The 20,374-nt window shown below is 40.0% G+C and overlaps 1 protein-coding gene across 1 annotated transcript; it reads right to left on the reverse strand.

Annotated features, from left to right (window-relative positions):
- Positions 1 to 1,034: 1,034 nt before the first annotated feature.
- On the reverse strand, positions 1,035 to 1,833 carry NACA2 (nascent polypeptide associated complex subunit alpha 2). Its single transcript, NM_199290.4, has one exon. It carries the CDS (start codon positions 1,792 to 1,794, stop codon positions 1,147 to 1,149), a length of 648 nt encoding a protein of 215 aa, NP_954984.1. The 5' UTR covers positions 1,795 to 1,833; the 3' UTR covers positions 1,035 to 1,146.
- Positions 1,834 to 20,374: the final 18,541 nt, after the last annotated feature.

Consider the following 20,374-nt stretch of genomic DNA (forward strand, 5'->3'; position numbering starts at 1 on the left):
TGAATAGGAAAGACATGGCCACTATTCTTGCAGAGACTTCATCCAATTAAGAAGACAAATACTAAACAGCAAAGAGAGGCGTAATGAGAACATATTTCAGAGAGACCTAAGCTAGTCTAGGGATTAGGGTAAACTTTCCTGAGGAAATGATTTTGAAGCCGAGATTTGAAAGATGACTAGGAATGTTCCAGGTAGAGGGAACAGCATGTGTAAACGCTTGAGGGCAAGGGAGTGTGATGTTGCAGGAACTGAAAGACGTTCAGTATGACCAGAGCATTTAGGGGAATAGCAGAAAACTGTCAGAGGCCAGACCATACAAGGCCTAATAAGCCACATGAAGAGTTCAGACTATTTCAGTTGCTCATACACTAAAGAAGGGATATGCAACTCTGGTTGCAGAATGGATCGGACAGAAGAGAGACTGGAGGTAGAGAGACGGTTTAGTAGGTTATTAGGAAAATCTGGGAGAGGATGATGGCAGTAGAGACACAGAGAGGTGCATGAATCTGAGAAATGCTCAGGAGGCAGTAGCAATAGGACTTGAAGATTTACTGGGTGCCAGAGATTTTAAAGGATAGGGAAGAGCTAAGGATGAGTATCGAGTAGCTGGTTTGGGAATGAAGGGTATGATGGTGACTTTCACTGAGCTGGGGACACTGGAGAAGGAGCTCTAGTCATCCGGTAGAGGAGAGATGATGAGTATACTTCTGGCTATCCTGTGATTGAGGTGCCGGGAGAGTATCCAAGGAAAGACGGTAAGTAGGTGGCTGGATATCCAAATCTGTGTCTTAGGACAAAGATGGGACTGAAACTATTTGAGGATCATCAGCAAGAGAAATGAATCTGATCACCTATGTTGAGTGTGCAGAGTGAAAAGAACACAAGGCCTTGGAAAGACCCCTGAGATGCACTAATATTTAAGAACTGGGTAGAAGAAAAGATGACCACAAAGGAAACTGAAGAATAAGCCAGGGAAGAAGGTAGATCCGGAGAGTACGGCACTTGGAGACCAAAAAAAGAGAGCATTTCTTTTCTTTTCTTTTTCCAGCAAGAAGTCATAACTTTATTTATGATAGAAACAGTACAAATTTCAAACCAAGCTGCAGTTACTCCTTTGAGACACCAAAAAAAGTTGCTTTCAGATGGTTACACTGTTAATTCCATAATCGCATTTACAATATCATTACTGTTGTTCTTCAGAGCTCGGACTGCCTTTGCTCTCGACACATTTGCTTGTGACATGACCAATTTCACGTCTTTAACTTCTACACCTGTTTCATCGACCTCTTCCTCTTCACTCTCCTCTTGTACAGTTGGAGTCTGTGTGTTTTCTTGAATGTTTCCGACAGCTTCACCTTGAACTCTGAATTTCTCCGCAGCTGCTAGTTGTGCTTGCTGAGATAAATCTTGGATCTTGGCTTCCCCAAAAACTATGTAGGCATCCGAAGCAGGGCTCTTGTAGACGTCCAGTTTTGTGATGACAAAGAGGATATTCTTAGATTTCCAGATAGTGACTCTAGTAACTCCTGTAACCTGTAGAAGACCCAGTTTGGACATAGCCTTCCGTGCCCTCTTTTCACTCCGACTCTGTTTTGCTTTACCGACTGGTTCTTCATCAATTTCAGCTGCTGCCACCAGCCAGGCTTTTTGTGTGGTGGTCTGGGTGGAATCCTGTTCTTCAATCCCTGGTACTGATTCACCACTATCAGATGCTGTTCCAGACCCTGTCTCAGCCTGGGACTGCGGCAACTCCTGCTCTGTAGCAGGGACGGTTTCTGTGGCTTCGCCCGGCATTTTGTGCAGGGAACGCGGAAGCAAGATGGCGGCAGAAAGAGCGCGAGCGAGAGCGTGACCCACGCTTGTTGCAGCGGGAAGCAAAAAGAGAGCATTTAAAAAGACATTTGTCAGCAGTGCTACACTGCCATGAGGTCAAGTTGGAATGGAAAAGGATCTATTGGATTTAGAGACTGTAAGTTACGCGGTCTGAGTGGTGCGGTGTGAGTGGCACTTGGGAATTGGTTAATGGTCAGTTCCTTGAAAAAATGACTAAATTGGGGAATCATTTTTTAAAATTTACATTATTTAACATGCTGTTTTAACTGAAAACATATCACTGTACTTTTATTTGCCAATCTTTTGATAGGAGCCGTAAACCTTTCTTTGAGTATTATCTGTTTATTGGAATTCAGCCTCGGTTTTCTCACATAAATCATATCTATAAAGGTATTGTCTATCATTCCCTGTTTTAGTTTATTTAAAATAGACCAAGAACTCAAAGGTGCTCATGAAGCAATCTGAACGCAGAATCCTAGATATGTATGGTTTCCCTCGATCTTTTCTTGCTCCCCCAATGAATGGAAAATTGTAAATGTTTCCAAACCATTCAATTTAATTTGCACAGAAACAACTATTTTATTTTTTCTATTTATATTTCATATAACAGTTATATAATGAGTTTACGTAATAATCAGTTAAATTACATAATTATAGTAATAAGAATACCCAGCATAAATAGGTTAAATAAACACAACTGATTCTTGGTAAGCCTATAACTGTATAGAGAAAACAAAAAATCCATAGAAAAGAAAACCAAAAAACAAAAATCCGCGTATGTACTAGGCAGTAGCACGTTAGCTATAGAGTGTGCCGTTGGCTTCCACCAATATGTTTCACGAAGGCAACAGAGAGTATCAGTCAATTTGCATTATGTTGGCTAAATATACGTTAAGAGAGTTTTTGCTTTAGTTACAGGGGATGACTCAGAAGGCAGTTAGATTGCAGTGGGCTGAGAAGTAGGAATTGAAGAAATGGAAAGATTGGATTAGATCAGAGTACTCTTATAAGAAGTTTAACTGTGCGGGAGGAGACAGTGCAGTAGCTGAAGACATAATTATAGTTGGCGGATAGGTAAACACATATTCTTCCTAAGAAGAGACCTGAGCATGTTTAAATTCTAAAAGGAGTAGTTAAATACAAATGAAAGAGGGAAGTTGATCAGTCAAGGTTCTGAGGAGCCAGGAATGAAATCCATGGCACAAGTAGAACGACTAATCTTGAATAGCAGGAAAGGCATCCTTTTCATTGTAATAGGAGGAAAGAAGAAAAATATGGATTTGGGTGCAAGCAGATTTTTAGGTTTGGTAGCACGATGTCAAAGGAGTTCCCATCTGGTAACATTTATTTTTTTTTTTTTCTAAGAGGCTAGAGGAGCTGTCTGCTGAGAGTGAGGGGAAGGCAAGAGAGTTAAAGGTTTATGTATGATGGAAAAGATTTGGAATAGGTGCTGCATAGAAGGAAGAAAATGATCACTAAAGAAGCACAATAGGGTAGTAATTCAGTATTGAGGTCCTAGCTGAGATAGGCAAATACTGTGCTATATGCTGGGTTGAGCAGGTTAAATGGGAGGAACATGCAAAGATAGGTAAGACACAGTTTCTGTTCATCAAATGAGAAAGAGAGACATATAAACAAACCACTTAAAAAGAACAGAAGATATAAATTGTGGCATATTGTGAAAATTAGTAAACTAGGTTGCACACAACCACATTAATAAATCTTAGAAAACTTAATATTGGCCGGGCGTGGTGGCTCACGCCTGTAATCCCAGCACTTTGGGAGGCCAAGGCAAGAGGATCACAAGGTCAGGAATTTGAGACCAGCCTGACCAACGTGGTGAAACCCCACCTCTACTAAAAAAATACAAAAATTAGCCGAGTGTGGTGGCATGCCTGTAATCCCAGCTACTCAAGAGGCTAAGGCAGGATAATTGCTTGAACCCGGGAGGTAGAGGTTGAAGTGAGCCGAGATCACGCCACTGCACCCCAGCCTGGGCGACAGAGCAAGACTCTGTCTCGAAAAAAAAAAAGAGAGAAAGAAAAAGTGAGAATGATTATCATAAAAGTCAGATCATGATTACCTCTAGGAGAAAAGAGAGGAGTGTGATCAGAAAGGGACATAAAGAGGACTTTTGGGGTGCTAGTGATGTTCTAGTTTTTGACCTGGATAATGGTGTATTTAGTTGCAGCTCAATCAGGGAAGAAGAACCTCTTTGGGTCATAGGATAAGGGATTTATTATAGGAATTAGACCTTACACGACTGTGGGAGGAGCTGGGGAAGTAACGTCTCAAGAGGAAGTTGGAGGACCAGTGGAGTCACCAACTGATCCAGCTGAGAAACCAAGCGCATCCAGCTGCCAAAATGAGACTGCACAGATTCCTTTGGCTGCCGAAGGAGTCTGTGGGAAGCTGTTGCTTCTTTGGGTCTGCAGCCAAACATCTGGTCATGAGCCTGGGACCGCTGTTGGGGAGGAGAGTTGCGTGTGGCACAGGGAAGAGCAAGGACACCTGGACCCTGTGAGACCTCTGCGTCTCTCTGTATCCACACCCACCACAGCAACTTGCAGAGAGAAGGGCTGCTGCTTCACCTCTGTCTCCCAGATCTCACACAGGCTGCTTTTTTGGCCATGCACAGAAGGGGACTCTGGGAAACACAGTTCCCAGGTTAATCAATTTGAAATAAAATGATCCAGCGCAGGTGGTTAAATGAGTTTGACTTTGTAATTATCCATGAAAATGTGCATTTACAGTTCTGACATTATTATAATTTATAAAAAGACTTTCAGTTAATCAATCAGTAAAAGAACAGGCATGGCATTTCAGGGGCCATGTATGATATGTTCCCATAGTGTTACTAGAGTATGTTTTTAAAAAGTGCTATGAAGCTAAAGAGACAGCTCTGCCTGGGGGCATCAGGAAAGTTTTCATAGAAAAGGAGACATTTCAACATAGTAATAAAAATAGCTACCATTTATTGACCACTTACTATGTATCAGACATTATAATATGCTCGTACTTCATATAATTTTTACAACAATCCTATTAGCTAGACATTATACTTCCAATTTTTCAGATAAAGAAACTGAGGTCCAGATAAATAAATTAACTTGCCCAATCTAACAAGAAACAGATCAGAAATTTGAAATACCTCTAGTTTACTCCAACCACGCGGAGCACTACTTCCATTTGAGTCTCTTTTTTTTTTTTTTTGAGACAGAATCTCACTCTGTCACCCAGGCTGGAGTGCGGTGGTGCCATTATGACTCACTGCAGCCTTGACTTCTCAGGCTTAAGCAATCCTCTCACCTCAGCCTCTCAAGCAGCTAGGACTACCAGCCCTTGCCACCATGCCCAATTAATGTTTTGTATTTTGTTTTTGTAGAGATGGGGTCCCACTGTGTTACCCAGGCTGGTCTTGAACTCCTGGGCTCAAGCGATCCTCCCGCTTTGGCCTCCTAAAGTGCTGGGGTTACAAGCATGAGCCACTGGGCCTGGCCAGGCTTTTTAAAATACCATCTTTTCTTACCCAGTCTTCCATTTGAGTCTTCACAGGTAATAATATACCTGGCAGGCAGAAGGAACAGCATGAGCAAAGAATTGGCAACATGAATGAGTGTGGTTTGCTTGCGGAAGATTAAGAAGGTTGATGAATGTGTGTGTAGGAGATGGTGAAAAAGGTGAAAGATAAGCTATAAAATTTATTGAAGATTTTTTATGCCATGATAAAGTGTTTCCAACTTACCCTCTAGTCAAAAAGAAGTCACTGGAAATTAATAAGTAAAGAAACAGCACTAACAGATTGTTTTCCTGGCAGTGATTATTTAATAGCCATCTATACCTTTGTGTCTGCGAGTACTTTTTACCTGGACTTTTCTTTATTCTTTTTTTTTTTTCTTTTTGAGACAGCGTCTCACTCTGTTACCCAGGCTGCAGTACAGTGGACTGATCTTGGCCCACGGCAGCCTCAATCTCCTAGGCTCAAGCAATCCTCCTGCCCCAGCCTCCTGAGAAGCTGGGACTACAGGCACAAGCCACCATGCATGGCTAATTTTTTTTTTTTTTTTTTTTTTAGTAGCTAGGAGGTCTCACTTTGCTGTCCAGACTGGTCTCAAACTCCCGAGCTCAAGTGATCCTCTTGACTTGGCTTCCCAAAGTGCTGGGATTACAGGCGTGAGCTACTATGCCCAGCCTGACTCTTCTTTATTCTTTACATAGAACTTTCTATCACATGATTTGTTTTGATTCTCACAATTAGCCTATGAAGAATGCAGAATAGGTATTATTATCTCCATTATATGAACTTCAAAACTGAGGCTCAGTAAGGTTAAATAATTTGTCCAATGTCACTTGGCTAAGTGACAAACTTTGGAAGAGAACCCACATTTCCCTGACTCCCTGTTTTCTCTTCTTCCTACCCCCTGTTGCCTAACTTGACCTGGGCAAATGTCAAAGTAAAGAAAACAAAACGAATCAAAATCCCTGTGCGTTTTCCAGTGAGCTGTAGCCAAGCCGAGTGAATTTTCTGTCTCTTGAATTCTAGGTGCTGAGAACTGATTGGCATCATCATCTTTTGAGAAATTAAACTTTAGTCATAAAATTTCTATTTGAACTAAAATTATATGACTCAGATATCTTTTGATTTAAACCTAATGACAGCAAATTGCTTCATAGTGGGAATACAGTAATTCTGGATAGGCATGAGGTTTGTATTTTAAAATGAAACGCAGTTTTTGAATTGCAATGAACAAGAGAATGTAATTAGTCCCAATTGCCAAATCAGAAATTCTGCCAGGAATTTCAAGAAAGGAAAAAAAGAATGGAATCATGTTCAACATCAATGCCAGGGAAAGAATGCTTCCAGAGGCTCGAGGACTCTCCATGGGAAATCAGTTCCCTCCAGTTCCTTAAATCTCCACAGCCGTACCTTTCATCAACACTGAGCATTTCCTCGATTTTAAAATTCCTGGTTTGGTATTCTGTTTTCCTTTATTAAAACTCCTGTCATTGCTCTAAAATCCCCACCTCCGTTTATAAAGTCTGAATGTATGAAGGTCGTGAGGATTTTGTTTTCCAATGGTATCCGATTTTTCCTTTAACGTAACCAGTGAGGAGGAATAGAATAAGGGCTGGACTGGGGCGGCTGGCATCCGAAGTGCTTGCTTGTGAGCTTTTCTTTATCGCTTGTTTGTTTCCTGGATGTCTGTCTAAGGAGATGCCAGAGTCTGTGTCCTGATAACTTACTGGGTCTGTAAAGTGACTGCTGATGAGAAGCTTCCCCACCACCCCACCATGATTACACTGAAATTCAGAATTCTACCAGAAGACAATTTTCTCAGTTCATCACCCTTCCAAGGACATTACATAGGTCTCACTTTCTCAGAGTGAGCAACAGCAAAGCAACATAGAAAGAAGGCACATCAGGCTTCCATCCCTTCCAATTTATATTACTTTGTTTCTCAACTGGCTTTTAAGCTATTGCAAGTATGTATTAATATCGTCTCTCTTTGCAAAACTGCTTAGGTCTGAAGACTTGAAAACAAAAACATAGGAATATATATATTTCTTCCAAAGCAAAAGATACATATGTTTTCTTCTCAAGCAATAAAATATTGGGGATAGGTGTCAAAGCATCACATGATTCTAGTGTCTTATTAAAATTGGTATTTTTCTAGATCCCAGGAGTTCTATGAATAGACAGTAGCATTTCTCTTCATTCTCAATGCCAGCTATGTCTACCTGGAAGAAGAGATATACACTTAAAGCTGGTGGCAAAGGCTACTGAATTGGTTTATAGGAGAATTCCACTTTGATTATTTTGTTTAGACTTTTTTTGAAAATATTTTATAATCTGTTAAGATTCAACAACATCAGGGAAAAAAAGATCTCAAAAGCGCTATGCTTTACTCAATTTCAGATAATTATGTTAAAAATTGTTTAGAACTACAATCAGAGGAAGGTTCTAACTAATTTTTAACAAAATAAAGTCCAACAAGTAGAATTCCATAGAACTGGCTCATTGGCATTTAGCATATGTTAAGAGACAGAATTGTTTTATTTGAAATTGTCATATTTCACCATCCTCAACATTAGGTGAATTTTTTTTAAAGTTTCAGTGATCCCAAATGAATTTCTGATTTTCAGTAGAAAATTGCTAAACCTTCATGTTGTCTAGAAAATGTCTCTAATTTGAAATTAAAGATTTTACTAAAAATAAAGAAATAATAAAAAAAAATAGGTTTTTTTTTTTATTTTTTTACCTAAGCTTTCTCTCTTTCATTATTCTTACTTGGCTTGAAAGATGCTGCTTTATGCCCAGCCAAAAATATGAAAGATTCAAATACAAAGCATTTAAGTACTGAGCATATTGCAGTATGTGATGCTGGCCTCACCATCCTATTGGCTCCTATCCACAAGAATTCAAAATGGAAAATGTACCTAATGACGGTTTATGCATAACTTCTGGGAAATCTCTTTAGATTTAATTTTTTAGAATTTAACCCTATTCGTCATTTCATATAAGTGGTCCCAAAGAGATCTCCATAAGTGGCCAGCTTTAATTTGTATGCCTCAGGGGTTCACAGGACTGTAAATGGAAATGAAGGGCTGGCCCTGGTCTCAAAATGACAGCTTGCTTGCTTACAGGCAGGATATGGTAGTTCAAAATTAGCCACAATTATCAGAGTCATGCGTTCTACCTCCTGCTTATTTAGCAACCTGAGTCCCTCAGTCTAAACCTGAAAGGTTATTCTAACTGCATCTGATCAAATATATTAGCTGAATTAGATTTAATCCATTGCCCAACACCAGCTCCTTCCATAGCATTAGACAAATGGTCTAAGTGTCTTTTCTTCCCTACCTGGATAATTAGAGATTATTCTCTTGGGTTCTGTGATGAAATACTAAACTCCTGCTTTTGTTGCCTCTACCCAAGGGCTTAGGGCTTTTTCCTGTGCTCGTGGCTGGGGAAAGTAGCCCTTTCTTTCTCTTGTACTTCCCTTGTGTCTACAGCAACACACCCTTAAATACTTATCTTGTTTGAATGGGAAAAAAATCCTGTACTACTTGTTGAGATTTATACGTAAAAAATAATATAAGGCCACAGTTACAGGTAGGTAAAGTGGCTCCATAATCTAGCTTTTTGTAGTACAGAGAATAAACACAGAGATACCCTGAAACAAGATCTTGTTTCAGGGTATCTCTATTCGGCCACCTGGCTTACTTCTCCAATCAGTCTAATCTAGATAGTTTTCTGATCAGTTTTGAGAAGGAGATAATATTAGTCTAACCCCTTTTACAGATGAGAAAGAATTTATGAGTTAGGCTTTTGTGTCTGACTTATGCTCTTCCCTCTATAGTTATATATTAAAATCCTATTAAAATAATTTAAAGTGAGTTAATATATGTAAAGCATTCAGAGCAGTACCTGTACCTGGTACATGATACTATATAAACATTTGCTCTTATTTTGAGTTTGTTTGTTTGTTTTAAGAAACTGGGTCTCCCTGTGTTGCCCAGGCTGGTCTTGAACTCCTGGCTTCAAGCAATCCTCCTGCCTTGGCCTCCCATTCTAACTCCTTTGTGAAGTCTTCCCTGTTCTCATCTGGCCACTCCTCTCTCTGTATAATCAGGTGCTTTTTGGACTTGTTTTCCATCAACTTACACTGTATTTAATTGCTTCTATTGCTGTCTCCCTCACTAGACAGTAAGCTATTTGAAGGCAAGAACCATGACTGTTCTTTGTATTGTCTTCCTCTTCAGTGCCAATCATATTACTTTCAGGCATTACATCCTTTAAAAAGTGTTCATTGGTTTAGTTGCACTGATGATCTTCAAAACCGGTGGGAAGTTATTCACCAGTGTAGGCTTTGCTCTTAGACCTGCCTACAAATACTAAGAGACGTTAAATTAGTTTCTCTATGGTGTAAATTGGGGTTGTGATAAAATTAAGCAAGTGGCACGGTCAAATGGCAGGGACCAGAAAAAGGGTAATTGCAAAACAGTAATCAAAAATTGCACAAACAATGGGATTAATTTAGATTGGAACTCACTAAAGCAGCAGGCAGACTGAGCCTCAAAATTAGGGACAAGGATCTATACTAGGTAAGGGAATAGGGCAAGCTGAAGCATGGTTCAGACCCCATCCACAGATAGCTGCAATCTTAAGAAGGTATCTGAAATGGCTTCTAAGTGTTGCATTGACAGGTGACTGTGGGATCGGAGATCAAAAGATCACAGTCTCTTAACTAGGACGGATAAGTCTTTCCACATTCGTTTTGTCCCCAACATGTTTGTTAAAAGATCTCAGCTTATTAGAGTAGTTCCCATTTATCCAGGCTCATCTTCACAAATGTACCTTCCAGAGCTGTGTCCAGATAATAGTGCTATGTCTTCAAAGAGGATCACAGATTTAATCATCACTTAATTAGAGAACCAATTCCAATTTTCTAAATACTACAGGATTTTCCACGTTGAATTTGTTCTCTGGAACTCCTAATGGCTGGGCTTTTGACCAGAGTACGAATAGCATTCACCCTTAATGCTCACGAAGTGGAACATTAGATGCCCAGCTCTCTAGATGTTGTTTGGTTGCAGATGGCAGGTCCTTAAGTCTAAAAGTTATCCCTCTCAATGGTGTACCCCTATGCAATAGCACATGCTTCTGACCTCAAATTCCACAGTACTGCTTACTTGGATCAGAGAAGGAAGAAAAGGAAGGGAGAGAGGGAGGACATTGTGTAGGAAGGAAAGTTTAATAATGAGTTTGGTGGGGCAGACAACAGAAAATGCTGTCTAGACTTAGAGGTCGCTGAGAGGCTGAATTTAATAGTTTTGATAATAGGAGAACTAAAGAAGATGTCTTTCAGTCTTTAAGAGAGTTAAAGAGGGCTCTAAGTGCAGAAGGTTAGAAGTACTTGGCTGCCAACCCGTTAGTATGCACTTGGGACTATACTTTATCTTGTCCCAAAATTGATTTTTCATTTGTTGAAGGGTGTGCCCCCCAACAATTGAATTGTTTTCAGCTAGAAAGTCTGCAAAGAGCTCAGGTCCTTGAGTAAAGATGTTTTTTATGTTTCTATCATTTGGACTCTTAACTGTTAAAGAGGGTTAACCAGATATTTGTGTTTGTAAAGTCCAAGAACTCTATTGTCTGAGAAAGGGAGTCATCCTAGACTTCCCCCTCTGTGGTGGGCATCTGATGTTTCTTTGGCTATCTGAAATTCAATCTTCCTCCCTAACATCACCCTAACATTTGGGGGGTGAGGATTTTCTTTACTAAATTTTGAATATTATAAATCGAGATACCTTGTCCTTGCTCTATGAAAGCTGATGGGGCTCTCAGATGCAATTATATCCTCCTTCCATAAGATCTGTAACTCTTATTGTCTTGATTATCAAAAGCCAACCATATGGCTTAAACTCAGCTAGCTGGGAGTGCCTTTTCTGGGACTTCTCTTTAGTTCTCCTATTATCAAAGCAATTGACTTCAGCTTCCCAGTGACCTCTTAAGTCTAGACGGCATTTTCCTGTTTTCTGCCCCACCAAACTCAATATTAAACTTCTTTCCTTCCTACACAAGGTCCTTCCTCCCTCCCACTCGAGTCACAAGTGCAGTGAGACAGGAAAAATCAGTAGGACCTCTTTCATTCCAGTGGCAGTAGCCCAGTGAAAATGTCAATTAGCTCCTACTGACTTGGCCCCTGTCATTTCTAAGCCTAGTTCTCCACCCTTTTGATCAATTTTTTTAGTTGTCCAATATCCTTATTTTTAAAATTCCCTTTTTGTTTAAGCCAGATTTGATTTTTATTATTAGCAACCAAAGAACTCTAATTCAATATCCCTTTTCCCACACATTTTCCTCTTCACTCAGTCCTGTTTATTTTAATTCCAGAACAGATCTTGACTCTATTTTATACAGCTACTTTGACATCACCTCTAAGCCAAGCTTTTTTTTTTTTTTTTTTTTTTCTGAGACAAGTCTGTCACCCAGGCTGGAGTGCAGTGGCGTGATCATAGCTCACTGCAGCCTCCAACTCCTGGGCTTAAGCGATCTTCCCACCTCAACCTCACGAGTAGCTGGGACCATAGGCATGCGTCACCAAACCCGACTAGTTTTTTGTTTCTTGTTTTGTTTTGTTTTGTTTTAGATATGGGATCTCACTATGTTGTCCAAGCTGGTCTTAAACTCCTGGGCTCAAGCAGTCCTCCTGCCTCAGCTTCTCAAAGTGCTGGATTACAACAGGCGTGAGCCACTGCACCTGGCCAAGCTTTTTTTTGATAGGCAATCTTTTCTTACCCAGACCACTGCAAGAGCATTCATGCTTCCACTATTGTCATCCTCAAATCTAATCCATTTTCCATATTGCAAGCACATCGATCTTTTAAAATTCAAATCTAATCATGATATTCTTCAGTCTAAAACTCTTGCTTCCCACTGCTCTTAGAAGAAAATAAAAAATCCTTAAGAAGGCCTGTAACATGTTTCGCAATCTGGCCCTGGTGACCCCTCCAGCCTTGTTTTACTATATTCTCCCCGCCGGCTCACTGAGCTCCAGCAACTCTGGCCTCCTTTTCATTTCTCTCTTTTTTTTTTTTTTTTTTTGAGATGGAGTCTCACTCTGTCGCCCAGGCTGGAGTGCAGTGGCGCGATCTCGGCTCCCCGCAACCTCCACCTCCTGGGTTCAAGTGATTCTCCTGCCTCAGCCTCCTGAGTAGCTGGGATTACAGGTGCATGTCACCACGCCTGGCTAATTTTTGTATTTTTAGTAGAGACGGAGTTTCACCATGTTGGTCAGGTTGGTCTCGAACTCCTGACCTTGTGATCCATCTGCCTCGGCCTCCCAAAGTGCTGGCATTACAGGCCTCAGCCACCGTGCCCGGCCCTTTTCATTTCTTGAACACACTAAGCTTTTTCCTATCTCAGGGGCCTCAAAAATACAGCTCCTTCCACCCAGGCTACTTCTACCCTGCCAATTATCTGCCTGCCTGTCTACTCTTCCCGTCTCACCTAAAGTGTCACTAAGGGATGCCCTTTTGGCCTGGCACAGTGGCTAATGCCTGTAATCTCAGCACTTTGGAAGGCTGAGGTGGGCAAATCACTTGAGGTCAAGAGTTCGAGACCAGCCTGGCCAACATGGCAAAACCCCATCTCTACTAAAAATACAAAAATTAGCTGGGTGTGGTGGTGGGCACTGTAGTCCCAGTTACCTGGGGGGCTGAGGCAGAAGAATCACTTGAACCCAGGAGGTAGAAGTTGCAGTGAGCCAAGATCGAGCCACTGCATTCCAGCCTGGGCGACAGAGCGAGACTCCATCTCAAAAGAAAAAAAAAAAAAGAGAGGCCTTTTCTTATCTCCTAATCTAAACACTACTCTTTTCCTTCAGAATAGTTATAATTTTTACATACCTATTTTTAAAATTATTCAGATAATGTCTATCCGTGTACATGACAAGGTACAGTCAATGTCCCAATGCTTGTTAGCTTCAAGAGAATGGGAATCACGTCTGCTTTGCTCACCACTCCATACTGAGTGGATTGCTAGCACCCAGTAGTGTGCCTGACTTATAAAAGTCCTTTAAGAAGCATCTCAATTCAGATGGCTGAATGAATGGATGGGAGTCATCACATCATAATTTCTTCTCCTACCCTCACCATTACTTCCTATACTAAATCAATTACTCAATCAGCAAATCTTTCATTCAGTCTCTAAAGTACGCCTCTCTTATCATTGCTACAGTTTAGTTCAGACTCTTATCATTTCTCCCCTGGGCCTTTGCAATAACTTCCTAACTAGTCCTCTTGTCCCCAGTCTTGTCCTTCTCTCACCTTTCACACTGCAGCTGGAGTGATCTCCCGAAATCACAAATCTGATCGTATCGCCTCTTTACTTACAGTGCTTTGGTAGCTTCTCATCATCTGCAGAATGAAGGCCAAATTCCTCATACAAAGCCCTAAGTGACTTGGTTCTCTATATATCTCTAGCTTCTTTCCCCTACTACTCTCTACTTTTAACTTGTGCTCTCTTTCTTTTCCTTTGCAGTTCGCTTGGCCTACGACACTGGTGACACTGTTCTTCACCTCACCAACTCTAACATCCCACAGTGCCCCGTGTCCTAGCACAGTTTATTATGTTGTGTTGAACTTTATCTGTTTATGTGTCTGCCTCCATCATTACAATGAAAGTTCCTTGAGGACATGAACTATGTGTTATTCATATTTCTATTATCCTTGTAGGGCCTTTTTCAACCTGCAAGTTGCAATCTAGTCGTTGGTCATTAAATCAAATTAGTGGGTTATGGCTAGTATTAGTTTTTAAAAATTATGTGGAAGAGAAGAGAAAGTGTCAGACTATACCACATATAGTAAGGGTAATCTGTGTGTGTGTGTGTGTGCGCGCGCACGCGCACGTGTGTGTGTGTGTGTGTGTGTGTGTGTGAAAAACTGTTTTTCTTTTTTTTTTTTTAGGATGGAGTCTTGCTCTGTTGCCCAGGCTGAAGTGCAGTGGTGCGATCTCAGCTCACTGCAACCTCTGCCTCCCAGGTTCAAGCTATTCTCCTGCTTCATCCTTCCGAGTAGTTGGGATTACAGACATGCGCCACCATGTTCGGCTAATTTTGTATTTTTAGTAGAGACAGGGTTTCACCATGTTGGTCAGGCTGATCTCAAACTTCTGACCTCAAGTGATCCACCCATCTCAGCCTCCCAAAGTGCTGGGATTACAGGTGTGAGCCACCGTGTCTGGCCTGAAACTTTTTTGTATGCACATACATATATAAAATATGTATAAATAAGCATGTGAACTAGTTCCCTATGTACAATGTATTTCTTGCCATAAGATTATAGTAAAAATTTATTTTCTGAAGAACATTATTCTAATATCTAGAATATAGAAGGAGCTAAATAACTACCCATCTTAAATCTTTTTGGAATGAAGTAGAGGGGAAAACAAATGTGTCTGAATAAACCTAACCTCAGTGAGCTCATGATTTCTCCTGCTTATCTGACTTCTTACTCTTCAATGCCCAAATTATTTCCATTCATCAAGAAGACATTAAAAATCTTAAAAATTTATACCTTTAATAACAGAGCTTCAAAATACATGAAGCAAAACCTGATAAAACTGAAAAGAGAAATAAACAAACCCACAATTATATAAGATATTTCAAAACCCCTCTCTCAATAACCGATGTGACACGTTGACAGAAAAGCAGAAAAGGCACTCAAGACTGAAATAATGTCAACCAACTTGGACAGTCCAACTAATAACAGCAGGATAAATACTCTTCTCAAGTGCTCATGAAACATTTACCAAGAGAGACCATATTCTGGCCCATAAAACAAGTCTCAATAAATTTTAAATGATTTAAGTCATACAAGGTAAGTTTTCTGACCACAGTGTAATTTAATTAGAAGTCAGTAATAGAAAAAGGTATTTAAAAATGCCTAGGTACTTGGAAATTAAGCAACATTGTTCTAAATAACCAATGAATCAAAGAAGAAATCACAAAGGAAATTAGAAATTATTTTGACTAGAGAGAAATTTTTAGGACTAATAGCCTATATTAGGAAAGAAGAAAGGTCTCAAATTATTGACTTCAGCTCATACCTTAAGAAACTGGAAGAGTAAGAGCAGATTAAATGCAAAGGAAGAAGAAGACAGGAAACAATAAGAGAATAGAAATCAATAAAATGAAAGAGAGTAATGAAGAAAATCCATAAAACTAAAAGCTTGTACTTTATGAAAATCAATATGATTAACCTGTAGCCACTCTAATCAAGAAAATAAAAGACACAAATTGCCAAAATCAGGAATAAAAGAGAATATATTACTAAAGATCCTACAGACATTGGAAGAATAATAAGGGAATATTATGAGCAATTTTATGCCCATAAATTTGACAGCTTAAATTAAGTGAAAAAATCCCTTGAAAGACTCAAACTATAAAAGCTCATTCAAGAAGAAACAGATAATCTGAATAGCCCTATATCTATCTACAAAACCGAAGCTGTTAAAAATAATTTCATAAGAAAACTCCACTGCAAATACTACTTAACATTTAAGGAAGAAATAATTCAATTATATACATACTCCTTCAGGACCTAGAATGGTCAATGCAATTTTTATAAAGAAGAACACCATCCTGGCTAACAAGGTGAAACCCCGTCTCTACTAAAAATACAAAAAATTAGCCGGGCGCGGTGGCGGGCGCCTGTAGTCCCAGCTACTCGGGAGGCTGAGGCAGGAGAATGGCGTGAACCCGGGAAGCGGAGCTTGCAGTGAGCCGAGATTGCGCCACTGCAGTCCGCAGTCCGGCCTGGGCGACAGAGCGAGACTCCGTCTCAAAAAAAAAAAAAAAAAAAAAAAAAAAAGAAGAACAAAGTTGGAGGATTAACACTATCTGATTTCAAGACTTAAAAAGCTATAATAGTCAAGATAGTGTGGTAACTATAGAAAAGAAAGTGGAACAGAATATGGAGTCAGAAATAGACCCACACATATATGGACAACCTTTTTTTTTTCTTGAGACAGGGTCTCACTCTGCAGCCTTGACCCTCCTGAGCTCAGGTAATTGTCCCACCTCAGCCTACCAAGTAGCTGGGACTACAGGCACATACCACCATACCTGGCTAACTTTTTGTATTTTTTGTAGAGACAGACTTTCACCATGTTGCTCAGGCTGGTCTCAAACTCCTAGGCTCAAGCAATGCTCCCACCTCATCCTCCCAAAGTGCTGGGATTAAAGGCATGAGCCACCATGCCTAGCCTGGACATCTTATTCTTGACAAAGGCACAAAACCAAACCAGTGGAGAAAAGATACTAATTTCAATAAATGTTGCTGGAATAATTGGATTCAAAAAAAAATAAAATTGGACTCATACTTCATATCACATGCAAAAATTACCCCAAAGTGCATCATAGACTTTAAATTATAAGACTTCTAGAAGAAAATACAGGAGAAAAATATCTGTAACCTAGAGTGAAGCAAAAATGTCTTAGATATGATACCAAAAGTATGATCCATATTGACAAATTTGATTCATCAAACTTAAAATTTTCTGTTCTTCAAAAGCCATTGTTAATAGAATGAAAGGTCACAGACCGGAAGAAAATATGTGCAAGGCATATATCTGATAAAGTACTTGAATCCAGAATATATAAAGCACTCTTAAAACTCAGCAACAAACCAACAAACCAGTTTTTTAAATGAGCACAAGATTTCAACAGACCCTTCACCAAATAAGATCTATGGATGATCTATAAACACATGAAAAGATGCTCAATATCATAGTCATTAGAGAAATGCAAATTAAAATCACAATAAAATGTTACTACATACCCACTAGAATGGCTAAAATCAAAAAGACTGTACATACCAAGCGTCAACAAAAATGTGGAGGAACTTAAACTTTTATATCTTTGCTGACAGGAATGTAAAATGGTACAATCACTTTGGAAAACAGTTTGACAGTTTCTAAAAGGGTCAAACATACACCTACCATATGATTCAGCCATTTCACTCCAGGTATTTACCAAAGGGAAATGAAAAGATCCATCCATACAAAGATTTGTACGTGATCGTTCATAGCAGCTTTATTTGTTGTAACAAATAACTGGAAATTACCCAAGTGTCCGTGAACATGTGGATAAATAAACAAATTTTGCATATCCATACAATGGAATAGTACTGAGCAATAAAAGAAAGTAAACTATTGTTATGTGCAACAACATGGATGAAATTTCAAAATAATTATGCTGAGTGAAAGAAGCCAGACAAAAAAGAATACATACTGTATGACTGTATGACTCCATTCATACAAAATCCTAGAATATGCAAACTAATCTATGGTGACAGAAAGCTGACCCGTGGTTGTTTGGGGACCTAGGGGTAAGGGGTTGCAGAAAAAGAGGTGGGAGGGGGACCTACGAAGAGGCATGAGACAACTTTTTGAGATGATGAATGGCCTCATGGGTTACAAATATGTCAAAACTTGTCAGATTATATAGTTTAAATATGTACAATTTAATGCATTTAGTTATATATCAGGCCGGGTGCGGTGGCTCATGCCTGTAATCCCAGCACTTTGGGAGGCCAAGGTGGGCAGATCACTTGAGGCCAGGAGTTCAAGACCAGCCTGGCCAAATGGTGAAACCCCATCTCTACTAAAAATACAAAAATTAGCCAGGCATGGTGGTGCGTACCTATAGTCCCAGCTACTCAGGAGGCTGAGGCAGTAGAATCGCTTGAACCCAGGAGATGGAGGTTGCAGTGAGCTGAGATCACACCACTACACTCCGGCCTGGGCGACAGAGCAAGACTCCATCTCAAAAAAAATTTTTTTTAAATTATTTATCAATTACAATGAATTTAAAAATAAATGGAACAAAACTATTGAAGCACTAGAAGAAAATAAAAGATGGCTGGGCGCAGTGGCTCAGGCCTATAATCCCAGCACTTTGGGAGGCCGAGGCTTGTGGATCACAAGGTCAGGAGATCTAGACCATCCTGGCTAACATGGTGAAACCCCATCTCTACTAAAAATATAAAAACAAATTAGCTGAGTGTGGTGGCAGGCACCTGTAGTCTCAGCTACTCGGGAGGCTGAGGCAGGAGAATGGCATGAACCCGGGAGGCAGAGCTTGCAGTGAGCCGAGATCGCGCCACTGCACTCCAGCCTGGGTGACAGTGCAAGACTCCTTGTCCAAAAAAAAAAAAAAAAAAAGAATATAAAAGATATTATTTCATATTTTTGGGTGAAGACAACCTTTCTTTGCACTCACTAAAGCTGGAAACTCAGTAAAAAGGCTAATATAATTCACCACATAATTGACCACAAATTTACCACATAACATAAACTAAGTTAAAAGATAAACTTCAAGGCCAGAACTTTGAGAGGCCAAGGCGGGCAGATCACTTGAGGTCAGGAGATCGAGACCAGCCTGGCCAACATGATGAGACCCCGTCTCTACTAAAAATACAAAAGTTAGCCAGGGGTGGTGGTGTGCGCATCTGTAATCCCAGCTACTCTGGAGGCTGAGGCAGGAGAATCACTTGAACCCAGGAGGCGGAGGTTGCAGTGAGCTGAGATCGCACCACTGAACTCCAGCCTGGGAGACAGAGTGAGACTCTGTCTCAAAAAAAAAAAAAAAAAAGAATAAACTTCAACATATGATACACAAAAGACTAATACCTTCACTATATAAAGGGCTCTTACAAATTAATTTTTAAAAGATGAATACTTAAATAGAAAAATAGGGAAAAGGCATACATTTCCTGGTAATTCACAAATGAAGAAAATTACAATTGTCAATAAATGTATAAGATGTGTTACTCCATTAGTAATAGAAGTTTTTTTGTTTTGTTTTGTTTAGGTTTTGAGACGGAGTCTTGCTGTATCACCCCCCCAGGCTGGAGTGCAGTGGCACGATCTCAACTCACTGCAACCTCTACCCTCTGGGTTCAAGCGATTCTCCTGCCTCAGCCTCCTAAGTAGCTGGGACTACAGGTGCTCGCCACCACGCCCGGTTAATTTTTGTTATTTTTAGTAGAGATGGGGTCTCACCATGTTGGCCAGGCTGGTCTCAAATTCCTAACCTCAGGTGATCCACCCACCTCGGCCTCCCAAAGTGCTGGGATTACAGGCGTGAGCCACCACGCCCAGCATAAGATTTTTAAATTATAACAATAAAATAGAATTTGTATTTTATCTAACTGGCAAATTTTGGAAACATTATCCACAGAGCAACTGAAAATGTGGAGTACTCTTGCACACTGTTGGTAGCAGTGGAAATTTGCATACTGATTGGTATTACTCTCACAGCAATTTGGCAAGATACATAAAATTATAAAATATCTCAACACTTAAATCCAATAATTTGAATTTTTAGGAATTTACTCCAAAAAAATCACCATTTTGTTTATAATCACTCCAAATTGGAAACAACTGAAATGTTCATCCACAGAGAGTCTCACTAAAGAAATTGTGGTTTCCCTCTATGTTGTTTCACTATGACCAAAATACCATGGTCATCATTAAAAATTACGAACAGCTATATTATTGACCTGGAAAGATATCTATTAAATGAAAAAAAAGGTGGTTTGCAAAGTACTATGCATAAATATAACTAAATTTAAAAAGTAGTTTGTAAAAAATATCCTGGAAGGATATACAGCAGAGTGTTATTAATAACAATGGTTTTCTCCGGGTATGGTGGCTCACGCCTATAATCCCAGCACTTTGGGAGGCCAAGGAGGGTGGATCACCTGAGCTTAGGAGTTCGAGACCGGCCTGGCCAACATGGCGAAACCCCATCTCTACTAAAAATTAGCTGTGCGTGGTCTGGCCACCTGTAATCCCAGCTACTCAGGAGGCTGAGGCAGGAGAATCGCTTGAACCCAGGAGGAGGAGGTTGCAGTAAGCCCAGATCTCACTCCACTGCACTCCAGCCTGGGCGACAGAAAGAGACTACGTCTCAAAAAAAAAAAAAAAAAAGTCCGTATAGTAAAAGATCCGCATTTTAGAAAAAAAAAAAATCTGATC

The sequence above is a fragment of the Homo sapiens genome, chromosome 17 (genome assembly GCF_000001405.40).
Source record: "Homo sapiens chromosome 17, GRCh38.p14 Primary Assembly".
Taxonomy (NCBI): domain Eukaryota; kingdom Metazoa; phylum Chordata; class Mammalia; order Primates; family Hominidae; genus Homo; species Homo sapiens.

What these genes read in the sequence shown, in the direction of transcription:
- NACA2 (NM_199290.4), bottom strand. Translation starts at nt 1,794, where the DNA reads ATGCCGGGCGAAGCCACAGAAACCGTCCCTGCTACAGAGCAGGAGTTG.